Here is a 26,313-nt window from a genome sequence, read left to right on the forward strand (position 1 = left end):
GTATCCATTGACGGTTTTTTAGGTCCTTCTGTATCTATTAGCAGGCATTCTCTTGTAAGGAAAAGCTCTCCCTTCTCATCATTTATATATTGATCAGTATGGGTCATGGATTGTTATTTCATTGAGTTTTAATCTATTATTTTTTTTTTGTTGCTTAAGTTGTCCAAACTTTGACTGGTGGGAGCCTCTTCAAACTGGTTTCTTTTCAAGCTGTGTTCTTTTGCTATGTCCTTATCATTCCTTCAGTGCTTCCTTAATTTCTGGCAGGACATTTGCTTTTTAGAAATCATTTTTCTCTTGATTTGGAAAATGCACTTTTTTGCTTTTTTTGCCCCCCGCAAGAAGTATGGATGTCATACTTCCCTTTACAGAACACCACCATAACATCTGTACTCATTCATGATACCTACAAATGTGACCTTAAGCAAGTCTTTTTTTTTTTTTTTTTTAAACTCATGATTTTTCTTGCTGTTTCTGTGAAATCTAAGAGGAGCAGCTTGTCTGCTTGTAGCTCAGGGACAGAATAGCATTGTGTGAGGTGGTCCACATATTTATTGAATACTGCCAGTGCATAAAGCATTCTACCTGGAGCTGGAGAGAATCACACAAGAGAGTAGAAGAGAGTTATGTATCTGCTCTCAAGGATGGCAGGATTCAGTGGAGAAAGACCAGACTGTACTGCATATAGGAACAAATGAAGTTGAAAAGATTAATTTTCACAACTAACAGTCTTCCTTATCCTGCTCATGGGTAAAGATTACCATTTAATTTGTAGCAGTAGTGAGTCGGTGCCATTTATGACCACTTCTTGTCAAGCTCACACTTGAGACAAGTCAAGGGCCAAAAAGGCCTGACCTGTAGATACAACAAGCCACTTGTAGATTTAGGTGGTTAATTACTTATAGAGACAGAGAAAAGAAGAAGAAGGCAAAGATGCCAGCTTCCTGTAGTTCTTGTCTAGCATACCAAGAAGGGTGACACTGAAACTCACAGCTGATGACCGTGAGCCACAGGATTCCGGCTCCTGAGGAGCTAGATCCAGATGGCAGCTAAGTGGGTTTATGTTCTGGACCCTTATTTGAGGCCAGGTGAAGGGATGCCCAGAAAGCCCCATGCTTCACCAGAACCCAGGAGGCAATGAGGACCTGTCTCCCGTCGGCTGCCAGGGAAGTAGGGAGGTGAGTGGGCGCTGACATAGCATCCCTCTCTTTTGTGTTCCTGGAGGGTCATAAGGTGTTCTTCCAAGACAGACAAAGCATCTGTGCTTCAGGCCTTGCCTACATGGCTTATTAGGTAAGTGCGGACTGCCAGGGATTTGTGGCAGAGCTGTTCCCCTGTACTTCTTTGGACTTGTAGTGTGACTGATGTCTCCACATAACAGATAATCACATCACCTCTCAGTGTTACTCCCCAGCTGTTTTGCCTCCCCCTGTCCTGTCCCCTCTGTGGGTCGACAGATGCTGTTGTGTGAATCAGGCTGTTCTTGGGGCCTGTTTTCTGTCTGCCTCCTCTTTATATCTGACATGTAAACATGGCTGTCATTGGTTTGAGAATCCTGGTTCAGGCTCTCCCTGTACATATTTGGAGCCACTGGACTGTGGCAGATACTGCCTCATTATTTGTAGATGGCTGTGTTTTTTGTTTATTTGTTTAAAAAACAAATTTGTGGTATAATATAACATCAAATTTACCATTTTAACTCTTTATTTATTATTATTATTATTATTATTTTTTTTTGTAGAGGCAGGGTTTTGGTATGCTGCCCAGGCTGATCTTAAACTTCTGAGCTGAAGCGATCTGCGCGCCTTGGCCTTCCAAAGTGCTGGGATTACAGTTGTGATCCACCACACCCATTTTAGCCATTTCTAAGTGTACAGCTCAGTGGCATTAGGCACATTCACATTGCTGTGCAACCATTACCACCATCCATCTCCAGAACTACTTCTTCCCAAACTGAGACTCCGTGCTAAGTTGTTAAAAAACCCCAAGTCCTCATTTCCTCATCCCCCCAGATCCTGGTGACCACCATTCTTTTGGTGCCTAAATTTGGACCTCATATAAGTGGATCCATACAATATTTGCCTTCTTGGAACTGGCTTATTTCACTTAACGTAATGTCCTCAAGGTTTATCCATGTTGTTGCATGTATGAAAATTTCCTTCCTTTTTCAGGCTGAATAATGTTTTATTGTATGGATATATCACATTTTGTTTACCCATTCATCTCTTGTTGGACAGTTGAGTTGCTTCTGCCTTTTGGTGATTGTCGATAATGCCGCTAGGCACACGAGTGTTGAAACATTTGTTTGAGTTCTTGCTTTCAATTCTTTTGGGTATGTACTCAGAAGTGGAATTGCTGGAAGGACTGAAATCTTAGTTTTTGGTGAATTTGTATTGTTACTTAATGTTAATAGCTGTATCACCATATTATATGGGCCTTATGAGGCCAAAGGGATGACTGGAATTTTAAAATTAAATTTCTTTTTTTTCCTTTCTTTTCTTTTCTTTTTTTTTTTTTTTTGAGATAGAGTCTCACTCTGTCACCCAAGCTGGAGTGTAGTGGTGTGACTATGGCTCACTGCAGCCTCAATCTCCTGGGCTTAAGCGATCCTCCTGTCTCAGACTCCTGAGTAACTGGGACCACAGGCATGCACCACCATGCCCAGCTGATTTTTTTTTGTAGCTATGGGGTCTTGCCGTGCTGCTCAGGTTGGTCTTGAGCTCCTGGGCTCCAGCAGTCCTTCTGCCTTGGCCTCCCAAAGTGCTGGGATTACAGGTGTGAGTCACTGTGCTCTGCCTAAATTTTATCTTTTAAAAGTAGTATTTATTATTTCCCTCCTTGATTTTAGAAAATTTAAAAAAGTATATAGAAAAAATTACCTGTAATCCTACCACACAGAGCAATGCTTGTTTTTAAAATTTTACATTAGTATTTTAATATTAATATGAACATTAATACTCATCTGTATATGATTATATACAATGTATAACTTAAAGAAAATTTGATAATATATTAATATGTCTCTGAGTCAGACACATTAATCAAGCTTCTATGGTGGGGATTTACCAAAATGCAGATTGTTTTGTTTTGTTTTGAGATGGAGTCTCACCCTGTCGCCCAGGCTGGAGTGCAACGGCACGATCTCAGCTCACTGCAGCCTCTGCCTCCCGGGTTTAAATGATTCTCCTGCCTCAGCCTCATGAGTAGCTGAGATTACAGACGCCCACCACCATGCCCAGCTAATTTTTGTATTTTTAGTAGACGGGGTTTCGTCATGTTGGTCAGGCTGGTCTCGAACTCCTGGCCTTGTGATCCCCCCGCCTCGGCCTCCCAAAGTGCTGGGATTACAGGCATGAGCCACTGCACCTGGCCCATAATGCAGGTATTTATTCATCCACTTATTTATTGTTTCATTTTCTCTCAGATATGTTATCTGTGTTTACATATATACCTGTGGATGTATATTTCTTTCATAATTGGGACCATGCTTTAAATATGACTTTATAATTTTTTTGTCTTATTATAAAAGTGTTGCCTCTAAACAATCTTCTAAAACATGATTATTAATTACCACAGGTAATACAAGGTACATCAATTCCACAATTTATTTAATCATGACAGTACTAATTATACTAGCATTAATTGAGTGCTTAGATTTAGATTTTGGTTCTTTAGGTTTTTTCTTTTAATTTTTTAAAAAACTCATACATAATATTTTGTTTGCCTGTGGGGGGCATTTCCTTATTTCTAAAAGTCAACTTTATGAGACAAAGGAATGAAACTTTTGATACTTACTGAGTAGGCAGGAACTGAATGTTATTTTTCAGGTGCATGTGATTAACTTTTAATATGGGTCTGAGAATCGGCATTCTGCTCACTGTCTTCACTAATTCTCTAAGAAAATATTAAGCATCTACTGAGAACCATATTACATTATGTAGATATTACAAAGATATATAAGACATGGCCTCTGATTTGTGGAGCACTAAATTGTAATTGTGAAAATGAGAAGTATGGGGCTGAGCATCCCTGATCTGAAAATCTGAAATCAGAAATGCTCCAAAATCTGAAACCTTTTAAAAATGTTTGCCCCCTCAACACACACACTTCAGCACCCAAAATCTGAAACCTTTTGAATGCCAACATGATGCCACAAGTGGAAAATTGCACACCTGACACTTTTGCTTTCTGATGGTTCACTGTACACACATTTGTTTCATGCACAAAATAAAACTAATGTATAAAATTACTTTCAGGTTATGTGTATAAGGTGAATGTGAAACAGAAATGAATTTTATGTTTAAACTGGAGCCCCATCCCCAAGTTTAAACAAATCTTCCAAAATCCAAAAAAAATTGAAATCCAAAACACTTCTGGTACCAAGCATTTTGGATAAGGGAGACTCAGCCTATATATACATTATCATTTAAGGCAGCATGTGATACATACTATGTTGTACAGAAGTAGGTGCTAAAATCAAATAAAAAAGAGTGTGCAATAAGATGTGCAAGGTGGAACAGGTGACTTTTGGCCTGGGTGATCTGGGACAGTTTCATGGAGAGAGAGATTGAGTACTGGGTCTTTTGGTTGGGTGGTTCTTGCAAATAGAACATTTCTGGCAGTAGGGAAGGCAGTAGGAAAGTCCTCCAGGTGACAAAGTACAGGATGTATTTGGGTCTTGGCAACTGAATTTACTTAAAGACAGGGAGGATAGTCCAGACGAGGCTTGGGCCACTTGCAGCCTAAGAGGTCCATGTCGTGTAGGGACCTGAATGCCAAGCTAGAGGGTACCAGTTTTTTTTTTTAATTCTCCAATTTAAAACTTTTAATTAAAAAGTAAACTTTAATGTCAAAAATGCAAACTTTGGAGAGGGCAGAAAGATCACACACAAGGCTGTCACTTCACACTTGGAGGGTTGCACAGCAGCCAGAGGCGCTCCTCACTTCCCAGACGGGGCTGCGGCCAGGCAGAGGCGCTCATCACATCCCAGAGGGTGTGGGGGCCGGCCAGAGGCGCTCCTCACTCCCCAGATAGTTGGCGGGGGGGCCAGGCAGAAGCACTCCTCACTTCCCAGACAGTGGGGCAGCCAGGCAGAGGTACTCCTTGCTTCCCAGATAGGGCGGCAGCCGGACAGAGGCGATCCTCACTTCCCAGATGGTCGGTGGCCGTACAGAGGCGCTCCTCACTTCCCAGACAGGGCGGCGGCCGGGCGGAGACGCTCCTCACTTCCCAGGTGGTGGGCCGCCGGCGGCCGGGCGGAGACGCTCCTCACTTCCCAGATGGTGGGCCGCCGGGCAGAGGCGCTCCTCACTTCCCAGCTTGTGAGGTGGCCGGCAGAGGCACTCCTCACTTCCCAGACGGTAGGGTGACCAACAGAGGTGGTCCTCACTTCCCCGACGGGGCGGCAGCTGGGCAGAGGCGCTCCTCACTTCCCAGACGGTGGAGTGGCCGGCAGAGGCGCTCCTCACTTCCCCGACAGGGCGGTAGCTGGGTAGAGGCACTCCTCACTTCCCAGACGGTTGGGGGGCCGGGCAGAGGCGCTCCTCTCTTCCCAGACAGTGGGGCGGCCGGGCAGAGGTGCTTCTCACTTCCCAGGTGGTTGGGGGGCCGGGCAGAGGTGCTCCTCTCTTCCCAGACGGTGGGGCTGCCGGGCAGAGGTGCTCCTCTCTTCCCAGACGGTGGGGCGGCCTGGTAGAGGCGGGGATACCAGATTTTGGGGTAGTAGGCTTACCTGATCAAAGTGACCCTGGAAGATTAATATGCTGGAGATGTGGGAACTAGATGGGAATGGGAAAAGACTGAATCAGTGAGATCAGCTCTGTTGGTTCTGTGTAGTGGGGTTATTGGATTGGAAAGGGAGTTGTAGAAGCAAGTCTGGTGTTGTCACTCCGCCCCACGACCTCCCCGAGACTGACACTGTCAGTCAGAGGAAAGCTTTTAAAAGTTTTCGTATTCCCTGCCTACCTGGCACTGAGTAGGTATGAAATCATTGTTGAAAGAGTGAGTGAACCAGCAATATAATTTTGTGCCTGAAGGTGCAGAGAGAGGGAGGATTCAGAGTTGACCCTGAGTCTTTGGAGGCAGGGTAACTGAATGAACATGCTTTTAGTGTATGGATATTGGAGAAGAGCGGAGAAAGATTGGCTCTGAGGAGGGACAGGGTAATAATTTTGGGTTTGAACAGGTTTATACAGTCTTGCTCAATGTTAAGGGATATTTGTGTTTACAAACTTTATTTTAATATGTTACTGTTGAGAATATAATTTTCTAATTCCAGTAATGGAAAAAGATCTGAGTGTTCTGATCTCCAAAGTGGTGTCAAAGAGATGATGGAAGGATCTGGATTAATAGTCAACTTACTTGATGAGAATGTGTATTTACAGCAGTTCTTGGTGGTTTGGGATCCTTAGATCTCATTTCTCACGTGACTTCTGGTCATTTAGCCCTTTCACCCGTAATTCACCATCCGTCTAAACAATGGAAGGAGCAAGCAGGAGTGGAATTCAAATATATAGATTTAACAAAAGCTTCTTTTTGGTTATTCTTACCTTTTTCAAGGTAGCATTGGTCTACATTAACACCAATAACAGAAAGTTAACTGAATTTTACATGCTGTTTGTCCCACCTGTCATTAGATACATTGAAGGACTGACTGCTGACCATCAGATGTATGTTTTTAAATTAGTTTAAAATAATGTTACGTATTTAATTTAAAAATAGTGTTGTGGTGGGGGCACATATGCCAGTAGGATGCTCTTTGAGTGTGTTCATAAAAGTATAAAATATTAAGAGATGACATACTTATTTATAAAGAGTTTTGAAGCCTTCTGTGAAAGTCAGCTTCAATAGGGAACATTACCTGCATTAATATATTTATTAGGCAGTTCATTTCTGTGAATTGTGTTTTTATACTTCATTTTTTCCAGCTACTCCTTTAGTGTTTTTTTCAGAAGTTTGAGTTATTTATGGATTAGCCTAATAGCTCATTCTTATAATTACTGCAATTTTAAAAACCATCTATTACAAACCAAAGTCTTCACCAAAGCAAAGCCTGTATAAATCTGATTGGGAAATGGTTCTAAGTGAGAATTGAGCCCTTCTCTAAGTGTGGAAATTTTCTGTTGTGCATTTTCCTAGTGCTGGTTTAAGTCCAAGCTCACCATGTATATGCTTTTGAAATGAACCAATTAGGGCATGTTTAACTATCAGTAGGCTTAAACAAATGTATTTCCTCGTGTTGGAATTTGGACTTAGGACTTTGGAAGGTGGAAAATTCCAAGTGCAAGTGAAAGATTTCTATAACTGGGCTCCATACTTAACAGCCAGTCCTGTCTCAAACTTAATCTGGTAATGTTTATTGAGCTGGTAACGTTTATGGAGTTATACATGAGATAGGCTATCTTTTCTGTAGGACATTGGTTATCTTCACTGGAGGACTTTTGAAATTGAAAGAAAGCAAGAGTAACATAAATTTGATACTCAGCTAGAGAAGAAGATGTATTTATATTTAACTTGTCCTCATGATATAAAGACTTGCTTTGTGTCTTTAAAAAAGTGGTTGCTGTTTTTACTGCAGTATTAATATCTTAAAGCCAATACATAGATTCATTTCTTCTTTGTTTTCCAAATTCAAAATGAGGAGACATTTATTTCTGTGTTTCCTACTACTACTTGAAAAAATGTTGAATATTAAAAAATTGCAGAAGAATAAACAGCAAGAGCTAAAGTTCTCATTTATTTGTATGTTACCTGCTCCTGGATTACCTATCGCAAATTAGGATGTTTTTGGTTAACTTTGATGGGTTTTGAGATTGTCACTTCTTTCCATTTAATCTTTGTATGCTTAGAAACTGCCAGTTTAGTATGGTATTAGGTGAAAAGAAAATGGTTAGAAATATAAATAAAATCTTTAGTGGATAGTATTGTACCAATGTTAATTTTTTAGTTTAGAAACTTATATTATGGCTATAAAAGGTATTAACCTTAGAGGAAGCTGGGTAAAGGGTATATGGGAACTGAACTATTTTCACAGTTCTTCTGTTATCTGAAAATTATTTCAAAATAAGCTAAAAAATGATTAGACTAACTCTACAGCTACAAAGTTATTAGTGTATATTGCAAAACCAGAGACAAGTGATTTGTGTGTGTCTAGGGAATGGACAGAGATTCTCTTCTATTTGGATGGTTGAAATCCTTGTTCATTTTCATTGACCTGAAAAATTGAGAGTTGTTGCTGTATCTCATGAGGATGAAGATGCTGTTAGAGTATGTTTAGTAAATGCAGACTTCTTTTTCTTTTTCTGTGTTATGAATATATGCATAAATACACGACAGATACCAATTTGCAAACATACATGCAGTGTGTGCTTCTAAATGAGGTGATTGGCTTTCTAAAAATATCACAGAATTTCATTTTAGCTTGTTACACATTTGTTTCCTTGATGAGATGGTGGCAATCATTTGCCTTTTGAGAATAAATTAGATTCTTTTATTTTGGAAACACCAGCATGTGATTTGGGGCTTCATGTATAAATTGAGTGATCAGACTTTCTAATTCTGAGTTGAATCTAAATTTAAGAAATGAGTTTTTTAAAAGATAAGTGAACTGGCTCTGAATTTATTTCCAAAGAATAGTACAGATCTTTTTGTGGTTCCTGCATCATTGGACTAAGTCTAATATTTGCAGATTTCAACTTTAAAGGATATTACTTGTGTTCTTGATTTATGTTTATTATAAGTTATTAGTGCTATCTGTATTAACAGAGATGGGAGACTCCAAGGTTTTTCAGCAGTTGCTTTCCCTAGGCCCATGCTGTAGCTGAGTGTGGACATTCAGCTGGACATTTGGGCTGCATTTCCAGTCTTCGCTAGTTCTACCCCATTTTACCCTCTTGGAACTCACTCTTTTTGTTCTACAGCAGCACTGTTATTAGAGCTTTCTGTGATGATGGAAATGTTATATATCTGCACTGTCCAATGTGGTAGTCACTAGCCACGTGTGGCAGTCAAACATTTGAAACGTAGCTAGTGTGACTGAAGAACTGAATTTTAAATCTTACTTAATTTTAAAGAATAAATTTAGATAGCCACGTGTGGCTAGAGTCTTCTGTATTAGGCAGCACAGATTGAGGGCTACCATTGCTAATTCCTTGAATGGTCTACCTGGAATGCCAATTTAAGTGTGGAAGGAGGGAATGGACACAGACATTTACAGTATAACTGAATTGTCTGTTGTTCTCATATAAAATTCCCTTTATAAGCATTTTGATTGACTTGGTGTGGAAATGATGTTACCATGCTGATTCCTTGCTTTTGGGTTGCCTTTTTTGAGAGGTACTCTTTGGGTACCACTTTAAAACCTGCTTTTTTTACATAAATTTTTTCATGTCAGTAAACACACTTCTGTCTCATTGTTTTTAATGACTGTAGAGTGTTCTATTTTATAGACTACTTTATGACTTTATACTACCTTATGACTGTATAGTATTCTATTTTATAGACTGTATAGTATTCTATTTTGTAGTGTTCCACCATGCACTAGCTGGGAGCCTTGGGCCTGGTGCCTATCTTCCTTCTCTGTAAAATGGGACAGTAAAAATGTCTACCTTGTAGAATTATTTTGGGTGTAAAATGAAATAAGATAAAGTGCTTGGTACAAAGTAAATGTGCTCAATAGATATTAGTTATTATTAATAATATTGTTAGGTAAAGGTCATTTCTTGTGAGATAACATGGGTCTACATCTCATGGATTTTATAGAATAAAACAGACACTTTAAAAGTTGGGACAGGTTAAACCTCTCTGGAATGCAGATCTGAAAGCAGCTGACTTCCCAGGGTGGCTTCCGCCATAGAAGTCACTTTGTGAGAGCACACCTTCCTGCTGCTGCCTGGAGCAGTGTCTTTGGGAGCTGGGTAGGGTTGTCAGCGTGCGCCCATGTCAGTGCCTCTTCCCCTTAGAGACTATTGCAGGTCTGCAGTTAAACAAAAGTAATTTTCCTAAACCTGAAAAAGGCATGTCTGAATTACTGGATGTGAAATATTTCGTTTAACAAAACTGACTCTCATGGGACCTCTAATTTTGCCTATACTCCTAATGAGGCACAAGAAGTAGTCACATACATACTGCCCCTCTCCCACACCTCTTTAAAAACTTTGGAGTGTAAATGCTGGCTTAAGGTGTTTGGCTCATACTTGGAAGTCTGTTAGAAACGAGTTAAAATTCTCTGAAGAATGACTTAGGTGCATATGCTAGGAAACTTTTGAAAGATTGGATAGAGTCTGCAATTGATTACAATTGAGGCTGTGGAGTCTTTCTGCCTGGAGGTTGTTAGAACAACGAGAACTGCTTATTTGGGAAATCAGCTTTGTAGTGGAAAAACACCTGCCCAGAAATCTGGAGACCTGGCATAATGTGTGCTTAGTCTTTAGCTGCATGACCTTCGGTGAGTCTTGTTCAGTTTTCTGGGCTTCAAGTTCCATCCTCAGCTTTAGTATTAATTTATGGACTGTGTCGCAGTGTTTTTCATTTGCAGAAACTGCTTTGCACTAAAATGGAATGATCATAATCTTTTTCTAATTTGCAGAGGGAAAAAAGCATTTTCAGCTGAACTGGTAGGCTTTTATTAGTTTTTCTAATGTAAAATTAAACTTTTTTGCCATTCTTTATCTGCTACCAAGTGCTCATGTTATTATTCTCATGTATGTGGTACATGGCGGTTGTCATTTTATACTCTGTTCAGATGTCACAGGCACACCTCTGCTAGTGAAAGCATTCCCAGGTTGGACTGTTCGCATCCACATTTCGTGGTGTTTTTGGAGTGCTCTCCAGAGACACAGTGACTCCTCCTGGGGGTGTCAGCGCCTGGGTGACTCCCTCCGGCATTGACTGCTCTATAGCCCGGCCCCAGGCGTCAGGGCAGGCCGCTGTGGGGTGGGCGGTGTGGCATAGGAGTGCCCTTCCAACTTGGGAATAAGGTAGAAGCTTTCTGATGTGGAGAGTCCTAAATCAGAGATAGATCCTCAAAGGGGCTGCAGAGTTCCTTTTCCTTGGCTTTTCTTAACCGGTGCTCGGAGGTACCAGAGGAAGTGAGGCTGGGAGGGTGGGGCTGGGCCTAGTGAGCAGGGTCTCTGTACTTCCACTGCTCACTTCTGAGATCTTATCACTATTTGGCTTCAGAAGTTGTTCAGTTTCTCCACTTTTCTGGTGTACAGGAAGGAGCAGCAGTAACCTGCCTATTACTCTGAGGAACTTCCTGGTGATTTACATCGTGGAGATCTGTCCTGCTTGCTCTGTGGAAGTAGTCCAGGGCCAAACATTCAAAAAGCAGTCTGAACTGATAAATATTCAGGCCGAAATGACCTTGCAGTAGACTGTGGACAGCATTCATTAAGAGTGTGTGAGGTGCTGGTGACTGTGCCTGTCCTGATTTCCACTCCTGTGTGAGCATCAGCGGGACAGGAACAGAGCAGGATGGTGAGGCTTGAGGTCCCACTTGTGACCTTGGACCGTATTTCCTCCTGCCAGAGGCATCTGCCAAACTATTAAGGGCATGAACATTGTTTGGTTTCAGTGATGGATTCGTTACTACATTTGCAAAGCTCCACACGGTTTAGGGAAGTTGTGGCCTTAGGAAAGACTTAAACAGCTGTTTTTGTAATCCCTGAGAACTTGGATTCTTGCTTTCAGAAGACACAGAAGAAATTCCAGTCAACTTTTTATGGGTAAGAGTCATGAGAATATAAATTAAGAGAATACATTCTTGGCTTAATATATCCTTTTTGAGAAAACTACTCTATTGAGGCTCTTCCCTATTTAAGTTTATCTTGCCTGAGATTATCATAGGATTTTTATTAGTGTGCTGAGCCGGCCACTTAAGTGAGCTGAAGATACATACAAATTTGCAATGGAAAAGTTTCTGAGATTAAGCCTACTAATATGCTGCTTAATGTTTCTTGTTCTGCACATTATCTCAATTTGTGTGAATATTTTGTAAATTGGACCTCATAAATTTTAATTTCTAATCAATATTTTTATTAGAGGTGACCAAATACCTTAATAAAGTGTATTTGAATGAAGACTCGTTTAACTCCAAATTTTGTAAACCACTTTTAAGAACATTTAAAAAGGTGACCTGTTTATTCTCTGCATTAGAATTAATTACCTGGATGACTATTTAAATATTCAGGGATCAGATGGGAGGACATGCATTTTTTAGTAAGCCTTAAAGTTTGAGAATCACTGCTTTAGTTCATACAGGCTTCACAGTAACCCCAGAGTTTCATGGTGAGGGTATGAGCTTGAGAGTACCCTCAAGCATATACATATGCATATACATGTACAGTAAATTGTTTGTTACACATATCCATGTTTTTTTTTTTTTTTGAGACGGAGTCTCACATTGTTGCCCAGGCTGGAGGGCCGTGGCACGATCTCGGCTCACTGCAAGCTCCGCTTCCCGGGTTCACTCCATTCTCCTGCCTCAGCCTCCCGAGTAGCTGGGACTACAGGTGCCTGCCACCACGCCCGGCTAATTTTTTGTATTTTTAGTAGAGACGGGGTTTCACCGTGTTAGCCAGGATGGTCTTGATCTCCTGACCTTGTGATCCGCCTGCTTCGGCCTCCCAGAGTGTTGGGATTACAGGCGTGAGCCACCGCGCCCGGCCGTTCCTCATCCATATTCTTTTGGTGTTTATGTATACTTGCTCTGTGCCTGGAAACAGGCTAAGTATGAAGCCTAAATTGAACATTGTCATTATAAATTTAGCTAACTATAGACCTTGGATGATAATGACTAGGAATCTTCTCTGGCTCTGTTTTTATTGTGTGCAGTTATTCCAGAGACTGGCCAGGTAGTGTGAAGTGCCTTATATTTCCCTATTACAACACTTTTCTTCCTTTGGTTAACTATCTGATCTTGGATAAAACTATTTTATTTTATTTTTTTTTGAGATGGAGTCTCGCACTTTCGCCCAGGCTGGAGTGCAGTGGGGCCATCTTGGCTCACTACAAGCTCCGCCTCCTGGGTTCATGCCATTCTCCTGCCTCAGCCTCCCGAGTAGCTGAGACTACAGGCACCTGCCACCACGCCCGGCTAATTTTGTGTATTTTTAGTAGAGACAGGGTTTCACCATGTTAGCCAGGATGGTCTCGATCTCCTGACCCAGTGATCCGTCCGCCTCGGCCTCTCAAAGTGCTAGGATTAGAGGCGTGAGCCACTGCACCTGGCCAGGTTAAAACTCTTAAAACTTGTTCATTATTGATTGTCTGTTAGGTTATTTTACTTGCTGTTCTTTGAAATGGTTTTAAGAGGGCTGGATTTCTTTTCTTGACTTCTCCACGTAGCCTGTATGTCCCTTCAAAGCAGGGACTATATGGATCATGTTGGTAGTACCACCGCCCAGCCCAGTGCTGGGATACAGAAGCAACGTGATACCTGTGTAGTGGCTGACGGATGAGAGGTGACCTGGACATTGTATCAGCTGATACTTCTTTGTTATTTAACTTGGACTCTCAAGAGACCTCTCCTTCCTTTCTATTTCAATTGTGGCCACACTAGTTCCTGCCTTGATTTACTGAGCCTGGATTAGTTGTCTTCCTTGCCTTTATCTCTTTGCTTTTAGGTCCATCTTTCACAATCCTTCCAGGCTAGTTGTCCATCCACACTCCTTTGAACAAGTCACTTTCCTTCTCAGTGACCTTCACTGACCTTCCCTTGTATGTGAGGTTCTCCATGATCTCACCTCCACCTGCCTTTCTTAATGTCTCATACTGACCTTCCCAACCAAGTCTGGCTGTTTGTGACAGGTGCTTTCATCCTCCCTACAGTTTTAACGTGAGGCCTCAGCTTGGGAGGAGGACTGGGGCACAGTAGAGATGCTGTAACTGTTCCCATGGCATGGGAAGCTGGGGCACAGGGTGGAGGCCCTGGGCCATGTGGCACTTGTGTCTGTGAGGCACGGGGAGAAGCGAAAACCAAGAAGGGTGGTCAGAGCTAGGGCAGGAACCGGGAGAAGCAGCCACAGAAGTCAGAGGAGGAAAGAACTTCAAGATGAAGAGGATGATCAGCAATTCTGAGTTCTTAAGCAAGTCCATGAAGACTGAGCAAGTTTCATTGCATGAGTGATTGCATGAGTGATTGATGGCAGTTTGGTGTGTTTCTGAAAGATTTCAATGGGAACAGAAGCTGAATTACTGATGTTCAAGGTTATAAAGGATGCAGCAACAAGGGCAGACCACTCCTGTGTGAGACTGGGGTGTGAAAAGGCAGGTACTGTGTTTTATATTTACATTTTCCTGCAACTGGCAGATGCATATGTGCTTTGAAGGCTCAGAGGATGAAGCCCAGGTTAGAGGGAGAGATTCAAAATAATGAAAGGAGTCACTCTGGAGGAGGGAAAGGATGGGGGAACTCCAGGGTTCCCATTCACCCTGACAGTGAGGAAGGAGAGGAGGGGACAGCAAGGAGGAGTGGCTGCATTCAGGTGGCTTCATTTTTTTCTGTCGATTGGGAGAGGAATTTAATGCGTTAGCAGTGCGCATGGGCCAGCCTGAATTGTTTCTGCAAAGATTACTCTTCCAAAAGTCAGTCTTCTGTGGTCTTAGTCCTGTGAATCCTTAGACGATTCACTCTGAGTCCCTGGGATCAGCCTCGGGCCTTCCAGGGTGTGCGGAGGTCATGCATGAAGTGTGGCTCAGCCAGCTCTGGCCTTTCTCTCACTCTTGGCCCTCTCAGACTCTCTATTCCACTTGTCATTCTCTGAGCACTCCCTACATTGTTTCCTGATTACGTGCCTTTGCTCACTCTGGCTTGTACTTTTGCTGGGCATCAGCCCTTCCTGCCCCACCTTCCTCTTTTGTGTCTGTTCTGTGTCAGTTAACTGTGTATCCCATTTCATAGAGAGCTACTGCTTACAGTTGTTTATTTATTTTGAGACGGAGTTTCACTCTTGTTGCCCAGGCTAGAGTACAATGGCGCGATCTCAGCTCACTGCAACCTCCACCTCCTGGGTTCAAGCCATTCTCCTGCCTCAGCCTCCCGAGCAGCTGGCGTTACAGGCGCCTGCCACCACACCTGGCTAATTTTTGTATTTTTTAGAGACAGGGCTTCACCATGTTGGCCAGGCTGGTCTCAAACTCCTGACTTCAGGTTATCCACCTGCCTCAGCCTCCCAAAGTGCTGGGATTATAGGCATGAGGCACCATGCCTGGCCAGTTGTGGTTATTTTTATTCATGCTCTTATTTCCTCTGCTAGATTGTAAACTGAAAGGATTTTAAAATCCAGGGATAATTTTAAATGTAATAAAATGTAGTAAGAAAACTTAATGAAGTATCAGAAGACAAGCCTGAGTCAGGCAGTCTTGAGTTTGAATCCTGGCCCTGCTTCTTCCTGGTGCGGTTTTGGGTGATTGCATCCTGTCTCTCTATTCATTTAATTAATTTACAGAGTGGGGATAATGAAACCTACTTCTTAGGGCTGTTAGGAGAATAAATGAGACAAAGCCTGTAAAGCATTTGACCTAGGCTGACTCCATTGTAGGTGCTTAGTAGACCATGCTGCAGCTGTCAGCAATGGATTCCTTGCCACCCAGCAGTGTTGGGTTGAGCACCTGGATGGATGGTGAGTGGTGGAGGAGTGTGCTCACCTCCCACCCCACTTATGTTGAGGGCAAGGATGGTGTACTTTACTTTGTATTTCTAACATGGGTCTATATATATAGTAAAGAGGAACGGCATACCTCTTATAACTGGGTCCACTTATACATGGATTTTCTTATGCCTCTGCTCCCCTGCAGACAGCAAAACCAACCCCTCTTCTTCCTCATCTTCCTTCAACCTGTGGATGCCTAGGATGAAGACCTTTATAATGATCCACTTTCACTTAATGAATAGTAAATCTATTTTCCCTTCCTTATGATTTTTCTTAATAGCAGTTTCTTTTCAGTAGCTTACTTTGTTGTATGAATATAGTATATACATATACAAAATATGTATTAATTGTGTTATAGGTAAGGGTTGCAGTCAACAGGAGGCTATTAGTTAAGTTTTTGGGGAGTCAAAAGTTACACACAGATTTTCAACTCCATGAAGGGGTTGTTTCTCCTAACCCCTGAGTTGTTCAAAGATCAGCTGTATTAACTTGTTTTCTCAAGTGCCCCATACAAATAACTTTTTTCATGTTAATTGCATAGAAGGAAGTATCATTTTGTACAGTTTTTTGAAAATTGGGAACTGGTTGGAAATGACACATAATAAGGTGTTCATAACATTTATAGCAAGAGGTGCAGCTTACAGCGTTTTCCCAATTAAAGCCCCTTTGCATTGTTTTTGCCCACAGAACTCTGGACATATTGAATGATTTATATTTTTGGCCCTTTCCTTTGTAGAACAAATGGTGAGGCCTAGAAGTTTTAGTGCAGCAGTTGTGTGAAGTGTACATATTATATAGTTTAGCCAGAGATGGAATGATACCATGGGGTTAATTTTTTTTATTAATTTTTAATACATTTGACATTGTTTCCAGGTAGCCAATCCTTCCAGTTTCTCAGGAACACAGATGTCTCCTCATAGGAAACAGGAAAAGAAGCTTTCTCTAGGAGAACTTGACAAACCAATATAAATGTTTCATCAGAGTGCCCTGTTGATCTCCACGGCCAGTCACAGGGGTTTTATCTCTCATCTTGTGATAAATGAGTACATATTAATTTTTAGTGCTGTAAAATGTGTCTTATTTGTTGCAGAGACTAGGGACAAACAACACTTTCAACCAATATATTGTATGGAGATGTTTTGCAGTTGCAGGTGGGATATGGTTTCCTCATTGAGCCCGTTAAAAGTATTCCATTGAATGGCGATGCAACTGTGGTCTTTGTGAACTGTTTCTTGGTTTGTCAGGTGTGTCCATGTTTATGAATATATCTCTGAATCATTTTGTATTTATAGCATACTAGAGATTCTAATATACGTGTCTCTGAAAAGTAGCTACATATGTTAAAGATAGTGGGAAAAAAAGGGGATGGAAAATGAACTAATTGTCCATGGAAGAAATTTTGGATTGTTAAAATGAGGATGCAGAGAAGACAGAGGCAAATTGTCAACACTTGTCACTAAGTGATACTATGCAGCTTCTCGGATGCTTGTCATTTGATGGAAAAAAGGGTTCTCAGACTGTAAGAAAGGAAGTTGACAATCTCAAGGGAAAAGAGTGTGGCCAGGTCAGGGCCTCTATCTTATGAAATGAGTTGGGGTATGAGACTAGGGAGGGGGTGATTCTTTAAAGTACATTTTTTTTTTTAAAGAAGGACTTATACTGTGTTAATTTTCTATTGATGCCATAACAAATTACCACAGAGTTGGTGGCGTAAACAACACACATTTATTATTGTATAGTGCTGTAGGTTGGAGGTCTGACACAGGACTCAGTGGGCAGAAATCAGGCTTTCAGTAGGCTGTGTTTCCTGTTGTGGGCTCTAGGGGAGAATCTATTTTCTTGCCTTTTCCTTGCTTCTAGAAGTTGCTCACATTCCTTGGCTTCAGGCCCTTCCTCCATCTTTAAAGCCAGCAGTGGTAGATGGAGTTCTCACATCTTCTCTCTCTGGCTCTCCTGCCTCCCTTTTTAGGATCCTTGTGATTATGTTGGGTCCACCTGGAAAATCTGGGCTCATCTCTCTACCTTGAAGCCAGCAGATTAGCAGCTTTAATTCCATCTGCAGCCTTAATTCCCATTTGCTATATGAGGTAATATATTCACAGGTTATGGGGAAATGTTCTAAGTATTGAGTCATCTTGTTTGAATTTTGTGGGGTACTGAAGTTCAGGAAAACTGTTCTCTCCAGAAGTCACCAGAGGCTTGCTTTCAGTATAGGGAAGTCTTAGTTTTTGCTGCCTCACAGATGTAATAAATATTGCAAACCTCACTCACAGAGGGTCTACCCTTGGGATTCTGGAGCAGCACAAAACCTACAAGGAGTTGAGAGAAATTGTGTCTATAGGTGAAGCAGGTTCTTAGCATCAGGAAGGGAAAGGAGGCGAAGGCGTGATGACCTGACAGGTGTGTGGAAGGAGCTCAGCAGAAGCAAGAGGGAGAGAAGACACACTGAGGTGAGAAGTAAAAAAGGGTGAGAATAGAGTGGTGGGCATTGTGGCTTGAGAGCCCCAGGCACCAGTGGAAGACACCGAAAGGAGGACTGCTCATACCTGGGGTGGGCTGGGTGCAGTAAAGTCATTCCCTGTACCGTGCCTTGGAAGCTCTGAGGGGTCGTGGCTCAGGTATTCTGTCTCTAAGCCTGAGCTCCTGTAGCACATGATGACCTCATACGGAAGGAGACTTTTATCTCAGCATCCCTCAACCTGGCACAGCAGTTATTAAACTTTTTGGTCACAGGACACCATGTATAGTGTTAAAAATTATTGAAACTCTCATACATTGCTGGTATAAAATGGTGCAGCCACTGAGGAAAACAGTTTGATAGTTCATCAAAAAGTTAAACATGAAGTTACCGTATGACGCAGCAGTGCCACTCTTAGGTGTATGCCGAAGATAACTGAAAACATGTTTATACAAAATGTATACACAAATGTACACAGCATTATTGGTGATAGGCAAAAGGTGAAGACAACTCAAATGTCCATCAGTGGATGAATGGATAAACAAAATGTGGTATATCCATACAATGGGATACAGGTTGAGCATTCCTAATCTGAAAATCCAAAATCAGAAATGCTCCAAAATCTAAAACTTTGAGTGCCAACATGATGCTCAAAGGAGACACTCATTGGAGCATTTCAGATTTTGGATTTTTGTATTAGGGATGGCCAGCTGATAAGCATATAATGCATATGTTCCCAAATCCGAAAAAGCCTTTAATCCAGAACATTTCTGGTCCTAAGCATTTCAGATGAGGGATGCTCAGCCTGTATTATTTAGCCGTTAAAAGGAGGGAAGTAATGATACCTGATACAACATGGGTGAACCTTTAAAACATTATGGTAGGTGAAAGAAGCCAGTCATAAAAAGCCACATATATTACGATTTCACGTATATGAAATGTCCAGAACAGGGAAATCTAATAGAGACAGGAAGTAGGTTAGTAGTTGCCAGAGATGGGGGGAGAAGAGGATGGGAGTGACTGCTAAAGGGTTTGGGGTTTCTTTTTAGGGTGATGAAAATGTTTTGGAATTACATAGCAGTGATGATTGTACAACTTTGTGAATGTACTAAAAACCACTGAATTGTACAGTTAGGCACCACATAATGATGTTTTGGTCAAGGATTGACTGCATATGCAATGGTGGTCCCATAAGATTATAATGGAACTGAAAAATTCCTATCGCTGAGTGTTGCCGTAATGTCATAGTATAATTACTTTTTAAAAAAATATATATTTAGTGTAGCCTAAGTGTACAGTGTTTATACAGTTGACAGTAGTGTACAGTAATGTCCTCAGCCTTCACATTGACTCAGCACTCACTTGCTGACTGACCTAGAGCAACTTCCAGTCCTGCAAGCTCCATGCATGATTGGTACCCTATGCAGGTGTACCATTTTTAATCTTTTATACCATATGTTTACTGTACCTTTTCTATATTTAGATACACAAGTACTTAGCATTGTGTTACGATTGCCCATAATATTCAGGGCATTAACATGTTGTACAGATTTGTAGCCTATGAACAACCGGCTGTCCTATATAACCAAGTGTGAAGTAGGCTATGACTATCTAGGTTTGTGTAAGTACACTCTATGACGTTTGCACAGCAACAAAATTACCTAACAATACATTTCTCAGAACATATCCCTGTCATTAAGGAAGCATGACTGTACCTATTTAAGTGGTGAATTTGATGGCATGTGAATTACAACTCAATAATGGAAATTGTAGAGAAGAATTTTTATGTCTGTAGATATCATATTAGAAATTAAAACTTGTAATAAAAATATACTAATTTAAAAAATAACATTATAATGTAACCATTATATGTTAACATACATTTTTATTTTAAAAAATCTTCAAAACAAAAAATTAAGTAAGAAGAGTAGCATTACCTTACATTTCTATTATATCTTTAATGTCTGGTTAGTAGGAGGCAGCAAGAACATCATATGTGCTTCTGTGTCAGTCTTTTGTGCTATGTTGCTTTGTGAAAGTATGTGAAGAAAATTCAGCCTTACACAGATGTGATTGGAAAAGAAAGGAGTATTGTTTTATGGACTTTTAAGATAACATGGATATTCTTTGACACTACCTCAAAATGTGACAAATGGTAATTTATTAAAGGTTAGTTGCACTGTGGAATCTGAAATCATTTATGTTAAAGTTTATTGATCTGTCTTATACTTTAAATGGACCTTTTACCACATGCAAGATTTTGTGTCATCATGCTTTGTCATTTGGGAAAGTATTGGTTCACTAATTTATGCAGATCTTCCAAATATTGACTCATTTCATTATTCTGTCTAAAATCACATTTGCTAATATCATCCCTGACCTCCTCAGAAGTCTTAATTATTGGGAAGCTTTCAAGCTCATGGTGGTAGATACGAGTTTTCCAGAATTCTGACTTCTGTGTGATGAGAGCCTGTGTCTTTTTGGTTGGCTTCAGCGGGTGTGATCTTGACTGTTTTACAATATAAAAGAAAAAAGGATTTTTTGGGAGAATTTGTGAGAATAGAGTGCTGGTGCTAAGTTGTCTATATGGGTGACTTCCTAGAAGAGGTTACCGGAGCCCTCGGTGGTTGCTTTTTTGGCTAGGGTGGGGTGTATGTGTGTTGAGAAAAGTTAGGAGGGTTTTTCTGTTTGAGCACGGAGCTAGAAGGACAGTAGAAGAGCAGAGCTGAGTGTTGGGCGAGGGAGATGAAGCCCGGGACGTGCTGGGGGAGTTAGAATATGTGTGAGTCAGGATGGCTTGCAGAGTGCTGTTCCACATCCTGCCCCGTTCGATCCTTACCATGATCTTACTAGTTAGGCACAGAGGGTGTACTGTTACACTTCTTTAGTAGGTGAGGGAAATGAGACCCAGAAATGGCAGTGGAATTGTCTAGAGTCATCTGGTTAGTTAGGGGTGGAATGGGTACCTGTCCTGAGCCTCTGCTTCCTAACTTATGCTGGTTTGTTTGCAACTGCACTAGGCTTGCTTTATTGGTGAGAAGCTGAGACAGAGGTTTCTCATGGCCAGAGTCAAGGGAGACATTGGTGGAGTTGATGCACCAATGCATTTTTGGATGAAGGTTGAAAGGAGTATGCAGGGTCTTTTACTTTGGGAAATGCTGTTGCCACTGTACAGAGGTGGGATGGACCCACACAAAGTTTGGTTCACGTGTCAGCCTGATGAGACCTCACGATGTACCAAGAGAGTAAGAAAAGGTGAATTATTCACATAGTAAAGCTTTTGGGGGAGAGCAGGCAGGCTCTCGGGTCCAAAAGTGTCTTGAGAGAGCAGGGAAAGGAGACTGGCTTGGCTTTTACATGATTAGGGGTTGGGGCTGGTCGAAGGCTTCCTTCCCTGCCCCCCTGGACCTGGATGGTTTGAACTTCCTGCAAGTGCCAAAGGAGGGGGCCCCAGGCTTTCTTATCAGCTTGCCCAGATGGGGGCAGAAGGGGAAGGTGGGGAGCGGTGGGGCCTGAAAACAGCAGTCAGATGTCAGAAATGGAGCCAGACTCTGTATTACAGGAAATGACATCTTTTCTCAAGGGATCTAGCAAGTAGCAATTTGATTCTAAATTCAAGACTTAGAACCAGCGAGGGAAGTGATTGAGTGAGCTACTGGCAGAACTTGTTGACTTAGCTGAAGTCTGCATGATCACAGCTCTGCATATCCTGGAACTCCACATTTCCTCCTGGTGACGAAGTGATGTGTTTCAGCTGATTTAGAATGTTGGCCTATTGAGAACAAAGCGAAGCTTGTGGGAAAAGAAGATAATGTGGTGCAGGAAGGCCCTGAATGCAGGGATGTTGCTTTCTTTTACTGAGAATTCTCTCGTGCTTGCCTTTGCCTTTATCCACCCCCTACCCCTTCTTTCCTTTTACCCTGAGAGTTGTTGGGAGGAAACTTAGCTGGGCCAACAGATGATGGAGCCGTCTATTGGAGGCTTTGAAATCCCACTTTACCACACAAGGAGGAGAAACATAGCTGTCATCTCCAGGAATTTTAGTACTCATCAGTCCCAGGCTGTCATATGAAGCATTCCACTCAGCGCAGTAAAAAAATGTGAACTAGTCAACAGTTTGTATGGGAGGACTACTTTGTGTTTCGAACGTTTGGACTTGGAACACTGTCCCAGATATTGGTTAGGTTACACTTGGAAGATGTTGTTTTGGAAGCGAGTAGGACTTGAACTCCAACAGATACTGGGTTAAGGAGGCTGCCAGGTACCAGTCTTAGATCCTCGAGGGCTTGGATCTGGAAGTGCTGCTCCCATTTTGGTTTGTATTTTGTAATGAATGCTTGGAGTCAGCTCAGGGTCCAATCATTGAAGCATTTATGTGTGAAACATTGATTATGCAGTGATTACTTGAGGAGGTGACTGGTGGTCACAGCTTATTTCTCTAATGTCTTTCCCTTTCTCTCCCACTCCTGATTTCCACCTGGGAATCCTATCCTTCCAGTGTGGAATGTATCAGAGAGTTTTAAAGCCCAAAGAGACCTTGGAGGTGATTATTTCTCTTACGTGTTGTATTTAAGGAACCTGATAATAACTAACTTCAAACATTTATTTCAGAAAGTTTCAAAACTATACAGAATTAAAGATAATAGTACGATGAGTCTCTATATTTCACCCAGATTTAGTAATTTTAAGATATTGCCCAGGTACAACTATCACATATAGAGCACTTCACATGCTTTACTTTTATCACCTCCCAATAGCCTTTTGGGGTTAGATACAAATATATTTCCTCTCTTGAAGATGAGAAAACTGACAGGCCCAGAGAGATTAAGAACCTTGCCTGGGGTCTCCCAGTCCGCAGCCAGCCGCCTGTGACTTCACCCTCTCTGCTGCACTGCCTGGAGAAGTTTTAAAGTTTGCCTGACATACACGGTCAGCTGAGGTCAGGCTAGAAGTGGAACCAAGAGATCTCACTCCTTCGTTGTTTCTTTTATTGTGATTTTCTGTGGCTTTTCTCTTTCCTTTATTCTTTTGATTCTTTTGCAACTGACTTTCTGGGCTTGAAGCGTCCGAGTACCATTTTAACTCTGATAGGCAGACAGCGGCATCCCAAGGCTGGGGTGGTGGGAGTGGTCTGCTCCAGTGCTGGTGATGAGGGGTGCATTGTCTGTGGAGGATTTAATAACAGTAATAAAAGCATCCAGAAGTCTGCCTGTAAAGTCTAAATGTCTAGAATTTTGCCTGCAGTTCTAAACAATGTCGGTGATATTCTTTCCCCCAAAATCTTTTGTTGGTGTTCTAAATAATTGCTTTATTGAGTTTTAATAATAGATACGTAAGCTTCAAGTGAGTACTTCTTGAGTACTTAGCCTTTAATAGATACTGTAGGCCGAGCGCCATGGCTCATGCCTGTAATCCCAGCACTTTGGGAGGCCGAGGCGGGTGGATCACCTGAGGTCAGGAATTTGAGACCAGCCGGGCCAACATGGTGAAACCCCGTCTCTACTAAAAATACAAAAAATTATCTGGATGTGGTGGCACGTGCCTGTAATCCCAGCTACTGGAGGGGGTGGGCTGGGACAGGAGAATTGCTTGAACCCGGGAGGTGGAGGTTGCGGTGAGCTGAGATTGTGCCATTGCACTCCAGCCTGGGTGACAGAGTGAGACTCCGTCTCAAAAAAAAAAAAAAAAAGAAATACTGTATGCAACATGGAGGTTAAATCTGACACTCCTGGTGTCAGATTAGCCCTAAACACATGGGGATTCAGCTGCTTGCATTCATTTCCAGAGTAACTTCTTAAGACTTTAGAATTGTTCAGAAAGCTTGCTTAGGACAGTCTTGTGTATTTAACTCTGTAGTATTACGTATATCTGTTTTTAAACAGTAGATTTGAAATAAATGATAGTGTTACTGATGACTATAATTGTCACTCTGTTTGATCACTTGGAGTTTTTGTCCAAGAGTCCTTAAAAATTACAACAGTGAAACAGAATGCAAACCATGAGGTGTAATATTTTTGCTTGGTAAGTGCAAAAATAATATCTGTAAAATTAAAACTTATCACATTTAAGACAGTTGTTTTAAAACTAAAGAACAAATCAAGAAAATAATAGTTACTGATTTTTACATAACTATTACTGAAAATAATTTTTTTCATACATGGAGGGTGTGTTAAAAAATATTCCTTCCTGGGTGTCTAATGTGTTAGATATGCCGTTGTAGGCGAAGGCTTTTTCTGTGATTCGTTTTTAAGTGAGGAGATTGAGAATCTTTCATATGTGCAACTGGAACCGTTAGGATAGGAAGAAAGTTACACAGGGCATTACTTGTACTGAAGGATTACTCTGTGTCTGAAATTGCTGGCACTTGGTACAGCTTTGTCTCACTTTGATATTTGTCAAGCTTCAGGCCTGTCTGCAGTGCTGACAGACTGTGTGTGCGACAGAGGCAAGAGCTCCTGCCGGCTCCTTTGCTTGGAGCATGCAAAGGGGGCTTGATGCCTTCTCTTGGGAGGGGGCCGTGGCGCCTTTGCAGTGGTAAGACCTCAGCCAGAACCCTGGCTTCTTGACTCTCATCTCCAGCATCACTTAGAACAGTGCTTCTCCATTGATTTTGCCCCCAGGGCACATTTGGCAAGGTCTGGAGACATTTTAGTTATCACCACTGGATGGGGGCTGCTATTGGCATCTTGTGGGTAAAGACATGACTCCTGCTAACTGTCCTGTGGTACACAGGACAGCCCCTCTACCCCTCCAGTAAAGAATTACCGGGCCCAGTTGTCCAGTAGTGCTGAGCTTGAGACACTGACTTAGGGCAAGTTACTTAAACTTGCATGGCCGGCTTCTTCATTTCCTCAAAATGGGAAAAATAACAGCAGTACTTTTCTCATAAGGTTGTTGTGAAAACTATGGGAGACAGTACATTTAAGAGCTCAGTAATTATAATTGTTGTTATTATTATGATTAACTTAGTGAAAATAAAATCCAAAAGGTAAAAAACAAACAAACAAACTGCTGCTGTGATATACTCATGACCAGTAGAGAGTCAACCATACTACACTCTGTGTACCCTTAGTACTACACAGCTGACCCTGAACACCTTGGGTCTGAGCCACATTAGTCCACTTATATGTGGATTGTTTTCAATTGAACATGGATCGAAAACGCAATATTTCGGGATGCAAAACCTGCGTGACCAAGAACTGCCTTTTTCTGTATCTGTGGGTTCTACAGCTCCGATGGGGAGACTTGAGCATGCACAGATTTTGGTGTTTGTCCAAATACCAGTCACCTGCAGATGACCTAGGGGTGACTGTAAATGGATAACAGTGCTTAGAATAATGACGTTGAATCAATATTCAGCGTATGAAACTTAGTAAAGTAGGAAATTGAACTAGAAACTTTTAGAAACATTTTCTTTTCTTTTTTTTTTTTTAAGATGGTGTTTTGCTCTGTTGCCCAGGCTGGAGTGCAGTGGCACAATCTCGGCTCACTGCAACCTTTGCCTCCCAGGTTCAAGCAGTTCTCCTGCCCCAGCCTCCCGAGTAGCTGGGATTACAGGCATCCGCCACCACGCTCAGCTAATTTTTGTATTTTCAGTAGAGACAGAGTTTCACCATATTGGCCAGGCTGGTCTCAAACTCCTGACCGCAGGTGATCTGCCCACCTTGGCCTCCCAAAGTGTTGGGATTACAGGCATGAGCCCTCGTGCCTGGCCTGAAACATTTTCAAAAGAAGAAAGTATTTCTGGCCAAATGTTAGCTTATCAATATTTTCTCAACTGTTCTGATTGTGTCACCTCATGTGCCTGTTAAGCTACCTGACCCCTCCCTTAAAGTTTTTGATAAAGGGATCGGGGAATCTTGTTTTAACATAATAGTCCTAGATGATTTTTAAGATCAAGCTAGATTGGGGACAGTACTTTTAGGTAGAAAAAAGATTTATCAACTAAGATTGGGAAAAACCTGGCTTAGAGTAAAGCAGGTTTCTTTCCTGCACTACTCTAAGCACTTTATATGGTCAATGGTAAATTGTATTATGCATTGTGGGGAATGAGAGTAAGAATATATATATATATATATTAAGTAACATTTCCTAAACTTAACTATGAAATGTTCTGTTAAACACATTTTCTGATGATGTTTCACAGACAGCACACTGGGAAACAATTACAACTCCCTCACCATAAATTCTGATTAAAGGAGGGT

The 26,313-nt window shown here is 41.6% G+C and overlaps 1 protein-coding gene across 5 annotated transcripts in view, besides 1 other annotated feature; it reads left to right on the forward strand.

Moving 5' to 3' along the window:
* CCNY (cyclin Y) overlaps positions 1-26,313 on the forward strand; it is a 325,643-nt gene that overhangs the window by 110,760 nt on the left and 188,570 nt on the right. The gene's annotated exons all lie outside the window — the stretch shown is intronic.
* Positions 21,617-21,911: a silencer, noted in NCBI's record as "tiled region #1021; HepG2 Repressive non-DNase unmatched - State 19:H4K20, and K562 Repressive DNase unmatched - State 1:Tss". NCBI's record gives its function as "represses a minimal TATA promoter and a strong SV40 promoter by Sharpr-MPRA in HepG2 and K562 cells {active_cell/tissue: HepG2 | K562}" and the evidence as "EXISTENCE:reporter gene assay evidence [ECO:0000049][PMID:27701403]".

Source organism: Homo sapiens, chromosome 10, assembly GCF_000001405.40.
Source record: "Homo sapiens chromosome 10, GRCh38.p14 Primary Assembly".
Classification (NCBI taxonomy): Eukaryota; Metazoa; Chordata; class Mammalia; order Primates; family Hominidae; genus Homo; species Homo sapiens.